At 39.3% G+C, this 23628-nt stretch overlaps 1 protein-coding gene across 14 annotated transcripts in view; it reads right to left on the bottom strand.

The window, feature by feature from the left end:
- The window catches only part of KIF15 (kinesin family member 15), a 106894-nt gene that overhangs the window by 74143 nt on the left and 9123 nt on the right, over window positions 1-23628 (bottom strand). For 12 of the 14 annotated variants that reach the window (XR_007095708.1, XR_007095709.1, XR_007095710.1 and 9 more), the window contains exons 2-8: window positions 20108-20150; window positions 19108-19291; window positions 16354-16430; window positions 13623-13660; window positions 9603-9700; window positions 7971-8150; window positions 119-328 (exon numbers count right to left, since the gene is read on the bottom strand). Coding sequence is in view for 9 of the 14 variants with exons in the window: in XM_017006884.3 (XP_016862373.1) it covers window positions 119-328; window positions 7971-8150; window positions 9603-9700; window positions 13623-13660; window positions 16354-16430; window positions 19108-19291; window positions 20108-20150 (830 nt within the window). In the remaining 5 variants the exon portion in view is untranslated. Of the gene's footprint in view, window positions 1-118; window positions 329-7970; window positions 8151-9602; window positions 9701-13622; window positions 13661-16353; window positions 16431-19107; window positions 19292-20107; window positions 20151-23628 lie in introns of those variants that run through there. The other 2 variants (XM_017006885.3, XM_047448601.1) reach the window with 2 other exon arrangements.

The following is a 23628-nucleotide window of genomic DNA, read 5'->3' as shown; positions in this document are numbered from 1 at the left end:
AAGGGACCCCCATCATAAATGCAGTTCCTCATTGACTGAGACACTGTCATGCATCACGACTGTATTGACTGCTAGTAAGAACTCACACACAAGTTGAAGACCATAATTTCATTCTTACCTTCAATCTCATCCCTTCTGCATGGGTATCTTTTTGCCTTTCAGATCCTGCTAAATCCACCAGGTTGAGTAGGGAGGTCCGTATATTCACAATCTCATTACTTTTCTCCATTGACTCTATTGTAATTGTAAAGACGGCATGAGACCTAGACGATTCTCTGTTCATTGATGTTGATGCCACACGTCTATTCCTCCATCCTCCAGACAACACCTATGCAAAAGGAAAACATATTAAAAGAAATGAGAGGACCAGTTACAGTGGCTTATGCCTGTAATCCTAGCAGTTTGGGAGGCCATGTCTGGAGGATCACTTGTGGATAGGAATTCAAGACCAGCCTGACCTACATAGTGTGAGACCTCACCTCTACAAAAAATAATAATTTGCTATGTACAGTGGCAGGAACCTGTAGTCCTAGCTACTCGGGAGGCTGAGGTGGGAAGATCTCTTGAGCCCAGGAATTCAAGGCTGCAGTGAGCCATGATTGTGCCACTGCACTCCAGCCTGAGCAGCAGGGCAAGATCCTATCTTAAAAAAAAAAAAAAAAGGAAAAGAGAAAAAAAAAGGAACAAGAATAGGTACACTTAAAATGTAAAATAAGCACTTGAGAATCACTCATTTTATTATGAAAAATACTAACATACAGCTAATTATCTACTTTCATAGGGAAAAAGAAATATATTTACATAAAGCATATTTTCTATTTAGAACAGGGGTGAGGAGTATCTATTGCCTTCCATTGTTATCTAGCTTTATAAGATAAATTATATTATCCCAAGTTCCAAATGGTACACAACAGCCACCAAAATCAGTAGGAAATTTGTAAAGGGTGGTGAGAAAGATTACTGGTCCATTAAGGAATAAGCTGAAGTTATTTTCCTTTCCTTTGTGTTCCCTTTCCACATTACAGAAACAGAACAAACAGGAAATCAGAGCGCATAGGATCTAGAACTGGTTTTGCCACGCTTTATTTGTGTTAACCTAATGTAAATCACAAAACCTCTCTGAACCCATTTCTTTACCTAGAAAATGAGAATGTTGGACAGGAAAAATCTGTAAATTATCTTTAAGCCCAAAGTTTTGTAAGCTTTTGGTCTACAAAGTATTTTTTCCCTTCTATTCCCTATGGCAAGCAGGATACATGAAAGTTCAGAATGCAGGCTCTGGAATCAGATGCATATGAGTTCAAACCATGGCTCCACTATTTACTAGGCGAGGTCTGGGGCCAGCTGAACCTTTTCAAGCCTCAGCCTTCATATTTGTAAAATGGGAATATGGGTACCTATCCCATAGAACAGAACATATAAGTTTTAGGTGCATATGAATCATCTACAGATGTTGTTAAAATTCAGATTCAGATTCAGTGTGAGGTGGGGCCTGAGATTTTGCATTTCTAACAAGCTCTCAGGTGATGCTGATGTTCTGAGGACCACATTTTGGGTAGGAGGGTAACAGTATATATAGGGTAAAATGGGGAAATTAGTGTCTTTATCTCAAAGGGCATATTGAAAATTAAGTAAAATAATGTATACAAAAGAAGTTAGCACAGTGCTTGGCACCTTCACTCAATAAATCATAGCTGTTGGCAGGGCACGGTGGCTCACGCCTGTAATTCCAGCACTTTGGGAGGCCCAGGTGGGTGGATCATGAGGTCAGGAGACCGAGACCAGTCTGGCTAACACGGTGAAACCCCGTCTCCGCTAAAAATATAAAAAATTAGCCGGGTGTGGTGGCATGCACCTGTAGTCCCAGCTACTCGGGAGGCTGAGGCAGGAGAATCGCTTGAACCCGGGAGGTAGAAGTTGCAGTGAGCCAAGATCGGGCCATTCCGCTCCAGCCTGGGCAACAGAGACTCTGTCTCATCACAAAAAAAAAAAAAAAATTCGTAGCTGTTATAACCCTATTAATCAGCAACAGTATAAAACTGAAATTATTTGTATCTTTTTTCTTTTTTTTAAGACAGAGTCTCACTTTGTTACCCAGGCTGGAGTGTAGTGACATGTTCATGTCTCACTGAAATCTCTGCCTCCCAGGCTCAAATGATCCTCCCACCTCAGCCTCCAGAGTAGGTGGGAGTACAGGCATGCATCACCATGCCTAATTTTTTTGTATTTTTAATAGAGACAGGGTTTCATCATGTTGGCCAGGCTGGTCTTGAACTCCTGACCTCAAGTGATCCACCACCTTGGCCTCCCAAAGAGGCTGGGATTACAGGAGTAAGCCACTGCGCCCAGCTATTTGTATCTGTTATGTTTCTTGGATAGTACTTTATGCTTTCTTTTTATAACATTAAATACTGTATATTACATATTAAATACATCTGATACATTCATACAGCTACAAAAAACAAGAGAGAGAGAGAGATCCTCCAAACTGAGACAAATTCCAAAATACTATTATCTAAAAAAAGCGGCCGGGCACTATGGCTCACGCCTGTAATCCCAGCACTTTGGGAGGCCAAGGCAGGTGGATTACCTGAGGTCAGGAGTTCAAGACCAGCCTGACCAACATGGTGAAACCCCGTCTCTACTAAAAAATACAAAATTTAGCTGGGCGTGGTGGCAGACAGCTATAATCCCAACTACTCGGGAGGCTGAGGCAGGAGAATCTCTTGAACCCAGGAGGTGGAGGTTGCATTGAGCTGAGATCATGCCATTGCACTCCAGCCTGGGCAAAACAGCGAGACTTGGTCTCCAAAATAAAAAAGGCAAGGTATAAAAATAGCACAGTATGCTGTCACTTGTGTAACATAAGGGGAAAAAGCAAATACAAGCATGTTTGCCTGAATACTTCTACAAAAATCAAAATAAAAAATCAAAAACAAAAATACCTGGTGAGTGTTCATAGATTGGGAGACTCAATATTGTTAAGATGCCAGTTCTACCAAAAATAATTGATAGATTCAACACAACCCCACTCAAAATCCCAGCAGCCTATTTTGTAGAAATTGACAAACTGGTTCTATGTAAATGAAAATGCAAAGGACAATGAATAACCAAAATAATTGTTAAAAAGAACAGTGTTGGAGGACTTACCCTACCTGATCTAAAGACACTACTTAGCAACAAGTTATATAATAATCAAGACCATTTAATATTGATGAAAAGAAACATATAGATCAACAGAACAGAATACAGTTAGATATAAACCCATATGTGTACAGTCAATTCACCAAAGATGCAAAGGCAATGTAATAGGAAAAAGAGTTTTTTTCAATAAATCATGCTGCATACTGGATCAAAAACAAAAAGGCAAGAAAAGAGAAGGAAGTATTAGATGAAACAGGCAAAACACACTAAGAAAGATGGTAGAAACCAGTCTAAGAATATCAACAATCATATAGTAATGTAAATAAATTAGGTAAGGTACTGTCATGAGCAGTTAAAAAAACGAGCAAAGTATAGCTATGTGGTTTACAATAAACACCTAAAACATTAAGAAACAGAAGGGGCCGGGCCCAGTGGCTCGCGCCTGTAATCCCAGCACTTTGGGAGGCCGAGGCAGGCAGATCACGGGGTCAAGAGATAGAGACCATCCTGGCCAACCTCATCTCTACTAAAAATACAAAAATTAACAGGGCGTGGTGGCGCATGCCTGTAGTCCCAGCTACTCGGGAGGCTGGGGCAGGAGAATAGCTTGAACCTGGGAGGCAGAGGTTGCAGTGAGCCGAGATCATGCCACTGCACTCTAGCCTGGCGACAGAGCGAGACTCAAAAAAAAAAAAAAAAAAAAAAGAAACAGAAAAACTGATGGGAAAACGTATACCAGGCAAATGGTAATCAAAAGAATGTTCAGTGGTAGGTGAACATCAGACAAAACAGATTTGTAAAGCAAAATGTGTTGATAGGAAAGTACAGAATCAATAAATAATTATAGGTGAAAATAAAAGGAAGATATATACTAATTCTACACTTGTATATATACCTAATAAAGGAGTCCACAGCAGGTCCTCCATTTCACTTCATTCAGTGTTATTTTGTTGTGAACTTGAGAAAATAAAATGATTTCCACCCGGGGCAACTGTCTGTGTAAAGACCAGCCCGGCCAACATGACAAAACCCCATCTCTAATAAAAATACAAAAATTTAGCCGGGTGTGGTGGCACAAGCCTGTAGTCCTAGCTGCTCAGGAGGCTGAGGCACAAGAATCGTTTGAACCCAGGAGGCAGAGGTTGAAGTAAGCCAAGATCGCACCACTACACTCTAGCCTTGGAGAGAGAGTGAGACTCCGTCTCAAAAAAAAAAAATGTCATAAAGTATATGATACTCATACAAATACAGGACAATAAACAATGCAGTATGAAAGTACTCAGTGAGCCCGCCATATTTGTTATTGTTTGTTTCTGAACTGTATGGTGGTAGGAAGTGCTCCTGACAATTTCTACTTTGCAAACATTTATTCCCGATTTAACCCAACACCATGACTGCCATCACTCACTTATCCACCAAAACCTGGGTAAATAATTATCTTAGTTGTTATTATTCTTTTTAAAATAAATGTATAGTTGACATTTATTTCAATGTTTAATATTAGAAGTGTGTTGGGTTCTTATTGAGAAGTTTGGTGATGCTTTTATGACTGGAAATATGCAGTAGGAACTTAACTCTTCTTTGTATCAATTAGCCTGTAGTAAAATTGGTTTTATTATACATCGTTTCACTTAAAGTCAGTTTCCAAGAACCTATAAGGATGTTAAGTGAGGACTTGTTGTGTTTCCATATGTGTATGTATCTATTTTATATATATATATATATATATATATATATATATATATATATATATATATAAAATTAGACAAAAATCGCAATGAAACTGAAAAACCAACACCTTAGTGGGAAATCAGTGCATCTCTCTGAAGTATCAATAGATTACACGGACAAGAAAACTAGCAAAAATATAAAACCTTGTACCAAGGATACATATTCTTCTCAAGCACACATGACACACTTAAGAAAAAGGTTATTAATCCATAAATTATGTCTCAAAAAAAACTCAAAGACTAGATGTCACATAAGACCACATTCTTCGATCCCAATGCAATTGAGAATCAATGTGAGAAATAAGTTAGAAATCCTCACACGCTTTGGAATTTAAAATCACATTTCTAAGTAATTCATGAGTCAAAAAAAATTATAGTAGAAAAATATTTGGATCTACACCGTAATTAAAATATTAAAACTTGTGTGAAGTTAAAGAAGTATTAAGAAGTAAAAATTTATAGTATTAAATACTTATATCACAAAAGAAATGCCAACGTGAGTAAACATCCAGCTTAAGAAGTTGGAAAAAGAACAGCATGATAAACCCAGGATAAACTGAAAACAAAGAAAATATTAAAGAGCAAGTCCATATAAACAATAACAACTGTGTAAAAAGGAAACAGAATGGCAGTATGGCAAAGATTGTAAAAATGTGAATACTAGGAACAACTTTATGCCAATATACTTGAAAACTAAGAGGAAATTGAAATTTTTCTAAAATACATAACTTACTAACACTGACCCAAGAAGAAATAACATGGCTGCATGGCTCTATTAAAATATTGTTTTGTAGTTAAAAATCTCACAAGACCCAGATAATTTTTCAGATGAGTTCTACTATGTATTCTAAGAATAAGTCATCCCAGGCACAAATACTTTCAGAAAACAAGTAACATTGATAATAAAACAAGACAAAGAGAATAGGGCCAGGTGCAGTGTCTCACGCCTATAGTGGGAGGCTGAGGCAAGGTGAAATGCTTGAGCCCAGGAGTTCAAGACTGGCCTGGACAACATGGCTAAACCTCATCTCTACAAAAACATTCAAAAATCAGCCAGACATAATGCTGTGCACTTGCAGTCTCAGCTACTAGGGAGGCTGAGGTGGGAGGATCTGTTAAGCCCAGGAGGTCAAGGCTGCAGTGAACCATGATTCTGCCACTTGTACTCTGGCCTGGGTGACAGAGCGAGACCCTGTCTCAAAAAAAAAAGAAAAAGAAAAAAAGAAAAAAGGAATAGGACAAAGGAAATTACAGATTGATCTCAATTTTTTAAATTTATGAAAAACACTAAACAAAATAATAGCAAATCTTAATCGAGTACTTTATCGTGTTAACATGTTAAAGAAGAAAAAGCACAAGATTATCTCAACAATGGTGGAAAAAGCATCAAACAAAACTTTAACACACATTCTTGATTTTTTAAGACAGCAAGGTGGCTGATTATAAAAGCATCTTATAAAAATCAACTGCATTTCTATACACACCAAACACTAAATGTAATTTAAAAAAGAGATTATGTGCCGGGCACGGTAGCTCATGCCTATAATCCTAGCACTTTGGGAGGCCAAGGCAGGTGGATTGCCTGAGCTCAGGAGTTCAAGACCAGCCTGGGCAACATGGTGAAACCGTCTCTCCTGAAATACAAAAAATTAGCCAGGCATGGCAGTGCGCGCCTGTAGTCTCACCTACTTGGGAGGCTAAGGCACGAGAATTGCTTGAACCTAGGAGGCGGAGGTTGCAGTGAGCCAAGATTGCACCACTGCACTCCAGCCTGGGTGACAGAGCAAGATTCTGTCTCCAAAAAAACAAATAAAAAAATAAATAAAAATGAAAATAAGAAAGAGATTATTAGAGAAACTAAAAACATAAGGTATACTGGAATAAAGTTAACAAAAAGTATGTGTGACTTTTATGATGAAAATTATTAAAATTATATTGCAAGACATTAAAGATCTAAAAAGAGGAGACATACTATGCTAATGTATGGACTGAATATTGTAAAACATTGTAAAAAGAATTGTTAATCCCTCCAGACTGGTCTATAACTGCAATGTAATTCCAATAAAAAACCCAACACAAATTTTTGAGTATGTATGTATACACATACTACGTCACATGTACAACCTATCTCTCGCCGGGGGGAGTCTCAATTTAAACAGCTGGAATCAAGAGACTTGATTCCATCTTTTATTGAAGATAAAAGAATAAATTATAAAATATCATACAGCAGTGAAAATAAATGAAATGCAACGTAGATTTCATAAACCACATTGAGTTTTAAAAGTCATAGAAAGCTAAATATGTGTTTTTCAAACTCAAAAACAGGCAAAACCACATACATATGTGATTTAAAAGTGGAAGAAAATGATAATGACATTCAACTTAGTGCTTAATTTTGGGGAAGAGCCAGGGATATGGGATAGGGAGGACAGGTATCCTATTTACCTATTTATAGCATATTTAAAGAACCAAATATCACCAGTAAATCGGATAGTACTGGTGATACCAGGGTCTTTAAATTGTCTAAAAGCCTCCTGAAAGTTCACTTTAACATTATGCTTGGTAACTTACATGCTTGTGGCAATATTTCATATGTGTCAAATGCTTCATAATAAAAAACTTTCAAATCATTAAGCCAGATCAGATTTCATAAAAACATATCTAGAATATTTTGTAAATTCCTGTCAAGAGGTTTGCTTGTCCTGAGCTGAATGCTCAAGGTAAGTTAGCTTTTGACACCTAACAAGCAAGCAACGTAGAAAAGAACAGCCAGCTGGTTTAAAGGCCAGAGTTCCCAGAAGCCCCTCAAACAGGCATCTCCCAGGAGGAACCACTAAAAACATATGGACAAGTAAGAAACTGATGATACAATGTATCATCTTATTTCTGTATAAATTGCCCTTTCGAGGTTCCATTTTGAAAGACTCTTGGAAAAGAAAATACTGCCATATTATTTTATCTTTACTTCCCATGAACATTCTGTATTATGCCTTTATGACATATTTTTGGTACCTCAATTGTCACTTTTTGGAGTTTGGGGTGCATTCACAGCAGGTTTGTTGCCTAAGCACCAATTAAGTACTCATGGCAGGGTACCTGATAGGCTTCAGCAGCTGAGGTTACCACCTGCTCCACCGCACCAACAACAAAGACTCCCTTCTTGATATGCTCCCTTAAGTACAGTCCAGCCGATGCAGAGTCCAGTAGATCATATATCTGCTCGTTGTAGATTTCAATAAAGGAACACTTACAAAGGAAACTCTTTCCAGCTCCAGCCTGTAAAAAAGAAGCCTCATTTAGATACATTATTTTCATGTGTTCATACCTAGTTTTCATGAGCATTAATTTTGCACTCGCTTCACAAGATGTAAATTTCCTATGCTATTATCCTTTAATACAATATAAGATACCTAAAAGTAAAAAAAATCTAGATAAATAGTTTTTTTGTTTTGTTTGAGATGGAGTCTCACTCTGTTGTCCAGGCTGCAGTGCAGTGGCGCGATCTTGGCTCACTGCAAGCTCTGCCTCCCAGGTTCACGCCATTCTTCTGCCTCAGCCTCCCGAGTAGCTGGGACTACAGGTGCCCGCCACCACGCCCGGCTAATTTTTTGTATTTTTAGTAGAGACGGGGTTTCACTGTGTTAGCCAGGATGGTCTCGATCTCCTGACCTCGTGATTTGCCTCGGCCTCCCAAAGTGCTGGGATTACAGGCGTGAGCCACCGTGCTCAGCTGATAACTAGTTTTAACACATCATTATATTTTAGAGCTGCATCAAACTGTGGTGCCAGGCACCCTAGAGGCCTCCACAGGTGCCTGGGAGCTAATACAGGGGGAGGAGAATTGAGCAGTCCAGTTGGGAAATTCCATTTTTGTCTGTCTTATATATTTGATGTCCTCATAAAGTTTTATTTGAAGCAAGTGTTATGTTCTTCAAACGATTGAAAATAATTTATTTTAAAAGACTTTATAGGATTTTTAACCATAGAAATGCATGGTACTAAATTATTTCACTGCCATACAATTTGTGTGTCTAATTTCAGTGTTAGGTGATTTCTGCAAAGGAGTAAATGGTAAACCAATGTTATATATTTCTTTGGTACACAAGTAATGGAACATAAAACACTAATGGTTCTAAGCCCCGAATTCACCAAGCTAAATCAGCACAACTGTGAGAAGGCCCAACCTGGGAGCCAATGCAAGAGGAAAGACCATATCCCCAGGGTGATGGAGCCATACCACATGTGGAGCACAAAGATCATGGAAGGCAGTAGCAGGTGCTACAAAGGTGGTGAGGATGAGTCCATCACTGCTGGATGTCATGAGGATTTAGGGACACCTGCAGTCACCTGTGAGCCTAGGTACAGGTAGATGATTAGGCTTAGTGTATTAATGTATCTGTTTTCCTCAGTTGAGATTTTCTTTACAGTTTCTCTCTTACAAAATCTTTTTTTGAGAGCCTCAGAAGCACTATTTTCCTTTCTTGTAAACCAGCAATTTGGGATAAAGGATAATGCATGTTTTATAAACTAAAAACTCAGTTGAGATAAAACAACTCAGAATCCTTAATATTATCCTCAGAATTGAAAGGTTTTTTTTTATGCCACGCTAGTCTATTCATATTGTAGAGTACCATCCATGCTCCACCATGTATCATGAGCTAATTATCAGTAGCTACCTATTCAAAATTAGACATTTCATAGAACCACTTTATTTTTACATTGTTTTACCTTTTCTTTTTCACGATCAATTAAGGAAAACAAATATTCAAAACTTCGTGGGATTACTCCTCTCAGGTTATGAGAAAAATTATCAGATTCAGATGGTCCTAAAAAAATGAAAAAAAAAACACTGGATTTTTATTCTATTCCAAGAGTCTTTCAAAATGGCAATTTACACAGAAATTAGATGATACACCATACAATCAGTTTCCTACTTGTGCTCCAAGCAAGTTAAATCTAGGTCTGTGAGAGAAATTGAAATTTTTCCAACTGCCAGGTACCAAAATCTGCAGGAATATCAAATAATTGTCCTTTATTGCAGCACATTTGGTCTCATAGACTGACCTGTGCTCCAGGCCTTGGCCCCATACTGTGTGACCATAGGCTAATTACTAAATCCCTCTTAAGCTGCAGAGTTCTCAATTATAAAATGGGGATAATAATGGTAATAAATATCACATAGGGTTATTGGAAAGAATTAACTGAGAGGCCAGGCGCAGTGGCTCACGCTTGTAATCCCAGCACTTTGGGAAGCTGAGGCGGGCGGATCACAAGTTCAGGAGATCGAGATCACGATGAAATCCCATCGTTACTAAAAATACAAAAAAAAAAGTAGCCGGGCGTGGTAGCGGGCGCCTGTAGTCCCAGCTACTCGGAGAGGCTGAGGCAGGAGAATGGCGTGAACCTGGGAGGCGGAGCTTGCAGTGAGCCGAGATGGCGCCACTGCACTCCAGCCTGGGCGACAGAGTGAGACTCCGTCTCAAAACAAAAAGAAAGAATTAACTGAGAGTGTAAAGGTAAAGCACTTAGAGCCATGTTAGTGCTTTAAACACATTAAGTACTAAAAATCAGGATTAGCTAGTTGATTTTTTTAAAATTAGGCAATAAAAGCCAAGCTGGTAAGAAAAGTACTGTAAGAATATCTTACAAGATTTCCACATAGACAGAAAAATGCAGAGTCTCTATTTTGTTACACTGGGAAAAGGAAGAGTGGATATGCAAATAGCAGGATTCTAAGGAATTCTAATTCAAGTTATAGCAATATTTACCAGAAAAGTATATATAGCTAGAAAAGATCTAGATCTATTTAACAATCAAAATATTGGTGAAGTATGCCTTAGAGACCAAAGGAACTAACAAAATGCTGACATGCACAAGAAAAATAGAGAATAAATTTTAAAATATAATAGTTGTCTTTGGTAGAAGGCCTTGTACCACACCTGGAATATTTAAAATGGTCCTTGTAATCTGTAGCTTAAGAAATATATAACAGAGGTAGAAAAATGCAAGTAAATAAAGAGAATGAATATTAGAACATGTAGATAATTTTACATCATTTTCCCATTGAAGAATATATTATATAAAGATATAGTATGTTTTGCCCCAATTCTCATGTTGAAATTTGATCCCCACTGTTGGAGGTGTCGCCTGCTGGGACATTTTTGGGTCATGGAGTGTGGGGGGCACAACCCCTCATGAAAGGCTTGGTGCCATTCTCATGGGAGTGAGTTCTCTTATTTCCCAAGAGAACTAGTTGTTGGAGAGAGCCTGGCACCTCCTCATCTCTCTCTCTCTTTGTCTCTCTCTCTCTCTCACTTTCCTCTCTCACCATGTAATCCCTGCATGCCCATTCCCCTTTGTCTTCTGCCATGAGTTGAAGCAGCATGAGGCCCTCACCAGAAGCCGAGCAGATGCTGGTGCCATGCTTCCTCTATGACCTGCAGAACTGTGAGCCAAGTAAACCTCTTTTCTTTATAAATTACCCAGCCTCAGGTATTCCTTTACAGCAACACAAATAGACTAAGACAAAGATTCAACAAATCTTTAATTACCTTCATCATCTCTTGCCTAACCCACTGCAGTATCTCCTAATCCCGCTCTATCCCCTAATCGTCTTTATTCCATTTAGCTGCCTGAGTAATCCTTTTAATATCAGATCATGTACTTCCTATTTGTTTATTTTAAAAAAGAACACTTCCAATAATGTCACATCATATTCAAAACAAAATCCAAAATCCTCACCAGGCCTATATGACCTGGCCTAGGGTATAGCTCCGACTTCCCATGCTACCAGCCCCTTATCCTGGAAAACTCCACTCTCAGTGGGTCTTCTGCTGGTCTTCAAACATCCTTGGGTGTGCACCCACCTCAGGGCCTGTGCAACTGCTGTTCCTCTGCCTGTAAGATTATTCTCTTGGACAGTCTCATGGTTCACTCTCATTTCACTTAATAACTCCAAAGGTCACCTCCTGAGAGGTCTTTCCTGACCCACCACCTAAAATAGCACCCTCTACTTTTTTCCATCCCTTTACATTGCTTTATTTTAATTCATAGCACTTATTACCTTTGGCATAATTTCTAGAGGTGTATTTGCTTTTAATTGTGTATTCCCTCTGCCTGAGAATCAGAAGGTCCACAAGAGCCAGGACACTGCCTTGTATTCAAGTAAACCAACAGTGTCTTGAAGAGTGCTGGGCATACTGTAAGTACAAGTATTCAATTATTTGTTGTTGTTGTTGTTATAACCTCAGAGAGCGAGGAAGACCTTTCTTACTACAACTCACAATTCAGAAGCCATTAAGGAAAAAGAAGCCAGGTGCAGTGGCTTCTGCCTGTAATCCCAGCACTTTGGGAGGCCGAGGCAGGTGGATCACTTGAGGTCGGGAGTTCGAGACCAGCCTGGCCAACATGGTGAGACGCGCCCCCCACCCCGTCTCTACTAAATATACAAAAATTAGCTGGGTGTGGTGGCGCATGCCTGCAATCCCAGCTACTTGGGAAGCTGAGGCTGGAGAATAGCCTTGAACCCAGGAGGCAAAGGTTGCAGTGAGCCAAGATTGTACCACTGCACTCTAGCCTAGGCGACAGGGGCAGGCTCCGTCTCAAAAAAAATAAAAAGAAGAAAAAGAAAAGAAACAAATTCAGCCATGTAAAATAAAACTTTAGCATAGAAAAAAAAACCTTAAGTAAGTCAAAAGACAAATGAAAAATCTAGAGAAAAATCTGGAATCCATATCATGGACAAAAGGCTAACTTCTCTGTTTTATAAGGAATATCCACAAATGAGTAAGAAAAAGTCAAGCTAATTTTTTAAATGGGAGAAAAAAGCTTGAATGGGCATTTCAACAGACAGGGTATTGATATATCGAATTAAACCTATGAAAGGTATTCAGTTGTCAATAGAAATAAATACACAATAAGATAATACTATACATACTCAAGAATGGCTAAAATTTTTTAAATTGACAATTTCAAGTATATATAAGGAAGTGGAGCAACTGGAACTTCCATATACTACTGAGATAATCACTTTGGGAAACTGTTGGGCAGAATCTACTAAAGCTAAATATACATATATCCTATGATCCAGCAATTCTCCTGGATACATATCCAACATAAATTATTTGAAAAGACACAAGAAAGATGTTCACAGCAACATTATTCGTATGGTTGAAAAGTTGAAATAATCCAAATGTCTATCAACAGTAGACTGGAAAATGTGTAGTATATTCATACGATAATATATTATACAGTAATGGAAATAAACTACTACTACATGCAACAACATGAGTGAATCGCAGAAACTTAACACTAAAAGACATCAGAAACAAAAGATACACAACAAAATATTATTTGTAGAGGATCAAAAACAAGCAATATTAATGATGACAGAAATCAGAGTAATTGGCATTCCAGGGGACAGGGTTTGGTAGTTACTGACCAGGAATCTTGATCTGGTTAGTGGTTATACAGGTGTATAAACATATACGAATTCATTAAATCCTACTGAAAAACTGTTTATTCAGCACCACTCTGTGCCAGGCATTGAGCTGGAAACATAGCTGCAAACATGATTAACACATGGACTTTGCTAGCAAAGAACTCACAACTTGGCAGAAGCCTAGGGAATTTCCCTAATTTCAAGAGATCAACATCATATATAGAAATTATGCCTTTCCCCAAAATGTTGTAGGTTACTGTTATCACAGAAAGAGTAGATTAAGCCAACAAAAGTTAATCTTTACTTACCCATCATAGTAAATGTCTTCCCTGAGCCAGTCTGTCCACTGTAAAAAATGTTTTACATATTATTTTTACACATAAAATTAAAAGACTACTCCTCCTATTATAATACTAGTGTATAAGTTTTCTCCACAAAAAGTTAGCTTATTTTCTTTCTATTTTTAAATTCTATTAGATAAAAAGTGAATGATCTGCCTCCTTTCTCTCCAATCTCCCTACAAAGAGCTAACTGCTGTTAATTGGCAAATGCTTCTATATTACACAAACATAGCCATCAGAGTTTTCATTTAATTTTTATTTACCAAAATTGGGATGATGCTCTTCATACTGCTTTGCAACCTATTTTTCCCTTAATTTTACCTCAGATATCTTCCTAGGTCAGCAATAGAGGTCTGCCTCATTATTTTTAATAGCTACACAGTATTCCATGGTTTTGGGATCATATAGCATCTTGCAGCACCATAATTTATTTAACCAGAATCAAATGAACTTTTGTTTCCAATTTTTGCTATGCCAAGTAATACAGCATTTCCTTTCCTAAATTCTTTGTCTTTAAAAGATACTAAAATCTCTTCATTTAAATATAAAGCAATAAAAAAATTCTTATGCTATAGGTTTTTGTGCAATGTCATCTCTCCTGTTATCCCACTTAACAGAAACAAGAGTAACAAAAAACTAAAAGTAAAAACGTTGAAGCCAGGCAGTTCCAGCTACTGAGGAGGCTGAAGTAGAAAGATGGCTTGAGCCCAGGAGTTCCAGGCTGTGGTGCACTAGAATCACAGCTGTGGATAGCCACTGCACTCCAGGACTGGGCAACATAACAAGACTCCATCTCTTTTAAAAAAAAAAAAAAAAAAAAAAGTTGTATTTTAAAGATGTTAATCAAGATATCAAAAGACTTTAGCTTAGATTCACAGCAAAAACAGAAAATTTTGGATTTACTTTTTCATTAAATGCCCCCCAAAACTAGAAAACAGTATGCTATAGTTTTTTACCCCCTTCTTCTGGAAGAAAAGAGGGAAAAAAATTCTTTAGTAACTCAGAATGAGAAATGGATATTATTGAGTCCTCTACAAATAGGGTAATCCTTTTTTTTTTTTTTTTTTTCACTCTGTCACCCAGGCTGGAGTGCAGTGGCACGATCTCGGCTCACTGCAACCTCCACCCTCCGGGTTCAAATGATTCTCCTTCCTCAGCCTCCTGAGTAGCTGGGACTACAGGCATCTGCCACCACGCCCGGCTAATTTTTTGTATTTTTAGTAGAGATGGGGTTTCACCATCTTGGCCAGGCTGGTCTTGAACTCCTGACCTCGTGATCCACGCACCTCGGCCCCCCAAAGTGCTGGGATTACAGGTGTGAGCCACCGTGCCCAGCCACAAATAGGGTAATCCTATAGATTATTGTCCAAACAGGCACTTGAGAGTGAAGAGGACACTACTAATAATTACTTGACAATTGGTATTGTCCTCAGTAAACCAGACAGTATACCCACCCTGCCATGTATTACCTAGCTCTGTCTGCTGAGAAGGCCTAGAAGCAATGGCATTCCAATAGCAACAAACCAAACACACCTAGCGCCCAGATCTTGGTTTCTAAATACCATGCTCCAATAAAAGGAATTAGGGTTCATTGGTGAAATGGCTGATTCTAGGCGTAGGTCAGGGAAAACACAAGATGAGCCCAGAGCATCTTGTAGCATCATAAAGTAAGAAGGGGCTCAAAAAACAAAAGGATGAGCTATAGCAAAGGGACACAAAAACCAACCTCAAGGAGGGCCCATTGGGCAAAGCTGGAACAACAAGAACAACAAGGTAAATAATTTTTAGTACTGGATTATAACCTAAAGAATAAAATAAATGCATATCCATAACATATAAAGAATTGAATAAATGTGGAAAACAGACAAATCTTTCTTTTTTGTTTTGGTTTTTTTTTTTTTTTTTTTTTTGAGGCGGAGTCTCGCCCTGTCACCCAGGCTGGAGTGCAGTGGTGCAATCTCGGCTCACTGCAACCTCTGCCTCCTGGGTTCAAGTGATTCCTGCCTCAGCCTCCCAAGTAGCTGGGACTACAGGCGACCACTACCACATCCAGCTATTTTTTTTGTATTTTTAGTAGAGACGGGGGTCTCACCATGTTGGCCTGACTGGTCTTGAACTCCTGAACTCCAGTGACCCATCCACCTCAGCCTCCCAAAGTGCTAGGATTACAGGCGTGAGCCACCACGCCTGGCTGGACAAACTTTCTTACAAAAAAAAGTTATATATATATAGATAGACAGATACTCTGCTCTACACTACTCCTCTACCTTGGAGTGTAATCCCTGCTACCTTGATAGCCAGGAGGGGCCAATCTAATCATTAGTCCCTAAAATCAGAAAACCTTTTTTAGCTGCTGTCAGAGGGAGGTGTGACTAAGGAAGAAGAGTCAAAGAGTTACATGTTGTTGGTTTTGAAGATAAACAGGGCTGTAAGCTAAGTAATGTGGGTGGCCTCTAGCAGCTGAAAAAGGCAAAGAAACAAATTTTCCAGAAAGCAACAAGGCTGCCAAAAGAATTGCATCCCTGCTGACGCCTTGATTTTACCTGTGAGAGACCCATGTTGAACTTTTCACTTACAGAACTGTAACATAATACATTTGTGTTGTTTTAAGCCACTACGTTTGTGGTAATTTGTTACAACAGCAACAGGAAAATAATTCAAGCATGTACTATGTATAAGGACACAGTCAACAACTTACTATGCAAAGATGGTACCATTATAACCGCTCATGCAAGACTCCACAATGCTTTTAGCCACAGTTGCGAATACAGATTCCTACAAATGTAACCAAACATGTTAACATATCATAAAAATGAAAACATTTTTCCTAAATTGCATTCTACAATGTAACAGCAAAAATTGCTTAGTAATAACATGGATAACATCCACTACAGAAAAAAGGCTAAACTATCTAAGATGATTCAACTTTACACATAATTACATCTATTAATCTCCTATACACCTATAGATTTAAAGCACACAACTAAACTTTATACAGAATTTTGTAGAGCATATTGCATGTAGATATTGTACTGGTACTAGCATAAATAAACGGCTGTACATCTTCTTCAGTGATTTTTCTCATAAGTTTGCACTGAACAGTCAATACCTCCATTTTATTTTCATTTTTACCTACAAGGAGATGCAGTCTTACTACAAATGCAAGAACTCCCAACCCTACACTGTTTATTTTTATTTATTTTTGAGATGGAGTCTCACTCTGTCGCCTTTAGTGCAATGGCGCAATCTCGGCTCACTGAAACTTCCGCCTCCCAGGTTCAAGCAATTCTCCTGCCTCAGCCTCCTGTGTAGCTGGGACTACAGGTGCACACCACCATGCCTGGCTAATTTTTTATTTTTAGTAGAAACGGGGTTTCACCATGTTAGTCAGGCTAGTCTCAAACTCCTGACCTCGTGATCCGCCCACCTCCACCTCCCAAAGTGCTGGGATTACAGGCGTGAGCCACAGCACCCAGTCCTCGTTTTACTTATCTATTGGCCAGCGATGCTCCACATAAAAAAAAGATCCAAAGATCTAAATGTTGGCCCAAAAACATCCATATGTATAAGGGAATACTTAAGATCTGTGATGGGCTGCATGAAGTGGCTCACACCTGTAATCCTAGCACTTAGGGAAGCCAAGATGGGAGGACTGCTTGAGGCCAGGAGTTCGAGACCAGCCTAGGGAACATAGTAAGACTCCATCTCTACAAAAAATTTAAAATTTAGCTTGGCATAACTGAGATTTATCCTGGAATGAAAAAAAAATTAGCCAAGCATAGTGGCATATGCCTGTAATCACAGCTACTTGGGAGGCTAAGCAGGAGGATTATTTGTGCACTCCAGCCTTGGCAACAAAGCAAGACACCATCTCTTACAAAAAAAAAAAAAAAAAAAAATCTGTGATGTTCAGTATAGTAGCCATCAGTTATATGTAGCTATTTAGATTTAAATTAATTGAACGAAACTTAAAAGCCAGTTCTTCATACACACTAACCATATTAAAAGTGCTCAGGAGCCACATGTGACTAGTGCATCTGAGGCACTGAATTTTAAATTTGATTTAATTTTAATTAATTTAAACTCATATAGTCACATTTGGCTAGAGGCTATTGTAACAGACAGCACAGATACAGAACATTTCCATCACTGCAGAAAGTTCCATTGGATAGCACTAACTAGGTCTTAATTAAGTTGACCTTAATTAGAAAAGCAGTTGTTGACATCACGGTAATCCTAAATCCTTAGATTAGGCAGTTCAACAGTACTTCTCAATCATCCACTGGCTCCAAAAAGTGCATCTTCACTAACCTCCAGTGCCTCAGATGCATGAGCCACACTTTTAATATGACTAGTGTATATGAGGAACTGACTTTCAAGTTTTATTTAATTAATTTAAATCTAAATAGCCACATATAACTAATGGCTACTACAATGAACATCACAGATCTTTTTTTTTTTTTTTTAAGAGATAGAGTCTTGCTCTGTTGCCAAGGCTGGAGTGCAGTGGCACCATCATAGCTCACTGCAGCCTCAAACTCCTGGGCTCAAGTGATCCTCCTGCCTTAGCCCTCCAAGTAGCTGGGATAACAGGCATGTGCCACTACGCCCATAATTTCCTATCACTTAGTGGGGGGAAAAAAAAAAAAGAAGGCTTTTGTCATTCTGCTACAAAGTTCGATGAAAAAAGGAGAATACTATTTAATAAGATTAAATTTAAAATATTTATGGAACGTTTCAGTCTCCTTATTTGAGACGGATGAAATTAAAAAGAGACCAGCCCAGAAAAGAAATTTTTTTTTTTTTTTTTGAGACAGAGTCTTGCTCTGTTGCCCAGTCTGGAGTGCAGTGGTGCGATCTCCGCTCACTGCAAGCTCCGCCTCCTAGGTTCATGCCATTCTCTTGCCTCAGCCTCCCGAGTAGCTAGGACTACAGGTGCCCACTACCACAACCAGCTAATTTTTTGTATTTTTAGTATAGACGGGGTTTCACTGTGTTAGCCAGGATGATCTCGATCTCCTGACCTCATGATTTGCCCCCTCAGCTTCCCAAAGTGCTGGGATCACAGGCATGAGCCACCACGCCTGGCCAAGAAATGAAATTTGGAGGCTTATATGTTCCAGGTAAAAAGTAAAGTTTCCAGCGAGGTGGCTCACACCTGTAATCCCAGCACTTTGGGAGGCTGAGGCGGGCAGATCACGAGGTCGAGAGATCAAGACCATCCTGGCCAACATGGTGAAACCCCATCTCTACTAAAAATACAAAAATTAGCTAGGCATGGTGGCGCGCACCTGTAGTCCTAGCTACTCGGGAGGCTGAGGCAGGAGAATCACTTGAACCCGGGAGGCAGAGGGTGCAGTGAGCCGAGATCATGCCACTGCACTCCAGCCTGGTGACAGAGTGAGACTCCTTTTCAAAAAAAAAAAAAAGTTAAGTTTCTAATTATCATTACCTGAGTGGTATCCACATCTGCAACATGATCAAACGTGAAGGTCTTGGGCTCAGGGTTGGAGTGCAGCCGGAGACTCGTGGAGGACAGCACAGATAAGCATAAGTTCTGCTCTCCATCAGCTGACCCAGATCTTTCTGCAGGAGGACGAATTCGCACAAAAACTTTGATGGCATCACCTTCATTACTAAAGACAAAAAAAAGAAAGTAACAGTTCAGTTTATTGAAGAAGAAAACTGAAAAAGGATCCAAGTCTCATATTGCCTATAATGTTTCTATAATGAGTTTCTCCAACAAAGCCCAAGACATATCCCATACAAATTTACCTCTTTTTTTTTTTGAGATGGAGTTTCATTCTTGTTGCCCAGGCTGGAGTGCAATGGTGCAGTCTTGGCTCACTGCAACCTCCACCTCCTGGGTTCAAGTGATTCACCTGCCTCAGCCTCCCAAGTAGCTGGGATTACAGGGATCTGCCATCACACCCAGCTAATTTTTGTACTTTTAGTAGAGACAGGGTTTCACCATACTGGCCAGGCTGATCTTGAACTCCTGACCTCAGGTTATCTGCCCACCTTGGCCTCCCAAAGTGCTGGGATTACTGGCGTGAGCCCTGCACCCAGCCAAATTTATCTCTTTTTACAGAGTCTCACATGACCTATACCTTTTACTGATTTACTTCACAATAGGCACCTTCACATCCCTTTACTTGAACTCAAAGGGAGTGTGTGTTCATTGCATGGAGTTCCAAGTAGTGCTTGTCTCTCATTTCCCTCTTACTAGCAATAATAAATAAGTCATTCCCAAGGAGAATTATGCTATTGATTCTATCATTTTGCCTGGAAAGTGAGAGGGCAGAGGTAATATGCAGTTTTCCCACATTTCCAGCTGGTTGAGGACTAAGTTAAATTTTGAAATAAGTACTCTTTACTATGCTAAATGGTTATTTTAAAAATATTCCATCCCTAGTCCTTTGGGAGCTCATTGAGAATATTTTTCTCCTTACCTTGGTTGGTTAGACTGACCATTTGTCACGCTGCGTAACTCAGCTAGAAAAAAAAAAAGTTATTAAAGGTCATTTAAATTGTAATATGGAAATCCTATTCTTCTCTAACATGTTCCTGGGTTGCCTGCTACATTCAGCCTCCTCAGATCCCTGACTTTAACAATGCTGTGCTCCACAGCCCAGGCCTTGATCCTATTCTCATTCTATCCCAACCCATTACTGGTTGTAACACCTAGTCTCATGGTGATAGAGACAGGAGACAGTCAAATGCTGCCCAGGTCATTGTGCACAGGGGGCTTGCCTAAACCTGCCCACGGTGAAAAATTCCATCCCTCAACACATGCACAGTAAGGGAAATAAATCAATATGGAGTGGCTCAGACTAAGGGCCCACATGCACACTGGGAGAATGGGGTGGAACCACTAGGAATTTGTGCCTTATGCAGGGAGAGAAGCCTGGCCTCTTCAGCTGGTGTGTTGTGGCCTGGTATTCAATCTGTGAGGTGGGAGCCTGTTCGCAGGACCTCCTTTTTTCATTGAGAGCGTTCTTTTAATAAATTCTGCTCTTCTCACCTTTCAATGTATCCATGTGCCTAATCTTTCCTGGTCATGCGACAAGAACCTGGATTTTAGCTGAGCTAAGGACCAAAAAATCCTGCATCATTTTGGTGGCCCATATAAGAACATGAGTAAAGGTGAGTAAAATGTGAACCAAAAAATATTTTTCCCTCTTGTTTCTGAGGCTTCTTGTCCTCGGACTTCTTCTGAGAATAGAGGAAACTGTGCCCCCTTCTACCCCTCATCGCTCTCAGGGGTAGGGAATGTTGGCCTCATTCCAACCCAGCCTTTCTGTGGCATTTTCCTTCTTTTTTTTGAGACTGTAATGGCACCTATCTTTTCTTCTACAATGTTGGGGGTGTTCTACCCGCAACCCAGTGGCTGCAGGCTCATGCGTAGGATGGACAGGCAAGTGGGGCGAGTGGCAGTTCCTTGCATCCCTCCCCTTCTGGGTGGGGCTGGGGTGCATGGCCCAAGGGCCCCACTTGGCTGGCTGGCCAGGGTTTCCCGCCACATGCCCACAGAGTCCTCCCCTCCCCTAGCCAAGGGGCCCAGCTAGGTTCAAGCCCCAGGGAAGAAACAGCAATTAAAGATTTCTCTCCCTGCTGCAAAAACTCATTTGCATAAGAATAAGAGGTTCTCCTTTCAGGCATCTTTCAAGCCCTGCATTTAAAGTTTTTTTTTCTTTTTTCCACCAGAGATTAACTTTTATGTGAGAGGCTTTGTTGTTGTTTTTTTTTTTTTAAGATGTTTTACTAGGCCAAGACCCCAACTATCACTGTTTATATTCTCTGTAAGGTTTCAATTATGAAAAAGGATTTGTGAGGTTGGTCTTAAGCTGTAACCAAGCTGGTGTGCTTTCCATGTCTTTCTGTATGGCTCTGTCAGAAAGAGGGGTACCTTAGGATGGGATGCTGGCATAGGACTCCATAGGTCCACTGTTCAAACCAGCCCGGCAAACTGGTTAATGGCAAACTTTGCTGCAGGCCTCCATCTTGTTTTATGTCCTTGGAAGCACGGCCTGTAACCACGTGCCCAGTGCTTTGTTTTAGCCTCTGCCATTTTACAATGGTGGCCTGGATTCAATCCTGGCTTAAGGAATGAGTCCTTTCTGGTTTGATATCTGTGTGACCTTAGCTATTTGTTGATTCTCTTTCCCTCCATGAACCACCTTGAATTTTCCTTTCTCTGAGCACCTGGGAAGTTACCTTTGGTAAAGTTTGGAAGTCAGAAATACTGGCCACTTTGCATGGCTAATGTCGGGTAATAAGGGACTCAAAAGGATTTTCTTAAAAAGCGTTCAGCTTAATTGAAAGTGGATATCCAAGTTATAAGTATATTTAAAAGACCTTTATGTTTTTCTCTTCTTAGATCTTATTTTGCTGGGTAAAGGTTTTTTTCTCAGTCAACTGAATTCTTTTTCTCCATTTTGTCTTGCCCCTCTTAATGCATGCATGAGGGGCCCTAAGATAATTTCTGATGGCCTGAGACTCCTTGGGAAAAATAGAAAAGTCTCCATGGATTCCATTTTGGGAGAGACCTTTGTTTTCCTAATGGAGCCCCAGGAATTAGAGGTGGATGGATCCCTCTCAAAATCTGTTTTTGTCTTCTAGCTATACCTGTTTACTAGGCCCTAGAAACTACATGCTTTCCTAGCCCTGCTCTTAAAGGGCCCCACTGAGAGGCTAATTGTCCAGTTACGAAATTGGTGAACAGAAAATCTTACAGCTACTGGATCTTCTTCTGGCTGTGTAGTTATGTATGTGTTGTGTGTGTGATCTCTATAAACAAGAGTTCTAATTAATTGGCCTAAAGGAAAATAAGCACTTAGATCAAATATTTTTTAAAGGAAAGAAGAGCTGTGGTACCTTTTAGTTCACATGACTTTAATCTTTGAGAAATAAAAACAGCCTTAAAAATTATTGGTAAAATGCAGATGTCATCAAAATGTACATTTTTGCCTAGGGTTAAAGGACTGTTTTGAATTAGATAAGATAAAGCTAAATGTGTAAACAAGTAGTGGAAGGATTGTAAAAATTGATCTTGCAAAAAAAAATTCCTTGTGTGAACATACTGATTAAATTCAAAAGGGTATTATATGGCTTTTCCATAAATTGAGCATTGAAATAAAAGCACAACAAGGTTCTCTTAAGGCACCAATCTGCTCTTTAGCTAAATCTGTAAAGGGTTATAAAAGGTTTTTGCTTTTTAAAATTTCTGAGTCATCATTTTGACAAAATAAATAACTTACGGTAATCTGGAATTCTATTTCATAAAATCAAATGTTTTAAACCTCTAACATATTCAACAGGCTTCCCAAAATCAAACTTCAGTTTCAAAATTGTCTTTCCTGACACCTGGCTTTTGGATGCTACAGAGGGCCCCTGACACATCCAGAAGAGAGGTAAACAGGATTACCTGACATGTTTAGGTACATGGGATTGCCAAAATAATGTTTAATCTTCTTCAGGTTATATTTTAGGGAATAATATTAATATATGTTCCAAAATTGTAAAGGATTCCTAAAATTCTAGTGTCTGGCCATAAAAATGGAATCTGTGGTGCCTTTTCTGTTTTTTCCGAGGAGTCCCAGGCCATCAGAAATTATCTTAGGGCCCCATCATGAGTATATGCTATCAATCACAATTAAGGTTGTTATGTTAAGTTATTATAAACCACAGAGATAACCAAATTTATTTGTCAATTCTGTTTCTGACTCTAACTACCCTGGACATTTTGTTATTCACAGACAATTGTTGTCTTGTTTTCATCCTCTTCAAAAGATGGTTTATAATCAGCCATAGAACTTTCATAGGTGCTCTCAAATGCAGGTTTCTGATAACTTTGGAGATTGAGACATTAGAATAAAGAAAAAACAAACAGGACTCATGAAGAGCTGAAATGTTCATGAATATCAAGCAAAACAAGAGTTAACTGGATGGACTTAATGAATACAAAACTGAA

Source organism: Homo sapiens, chromosome 3, assembly GCF_000001405.40.
Source record: "Homo sapiens chromosome 3, GRCh38.p14 Primary Assembly".
Lineage (NCBI taxonomy): Eukaryota > Metazoa > Chordata > Mammalia > Primates > Hominidae > Homo > Homo sapiens.
Note: the sequence above shows the minus strand (reverse complement) of the source record. Positions and strands in the feature narration are given on the sequence as shown.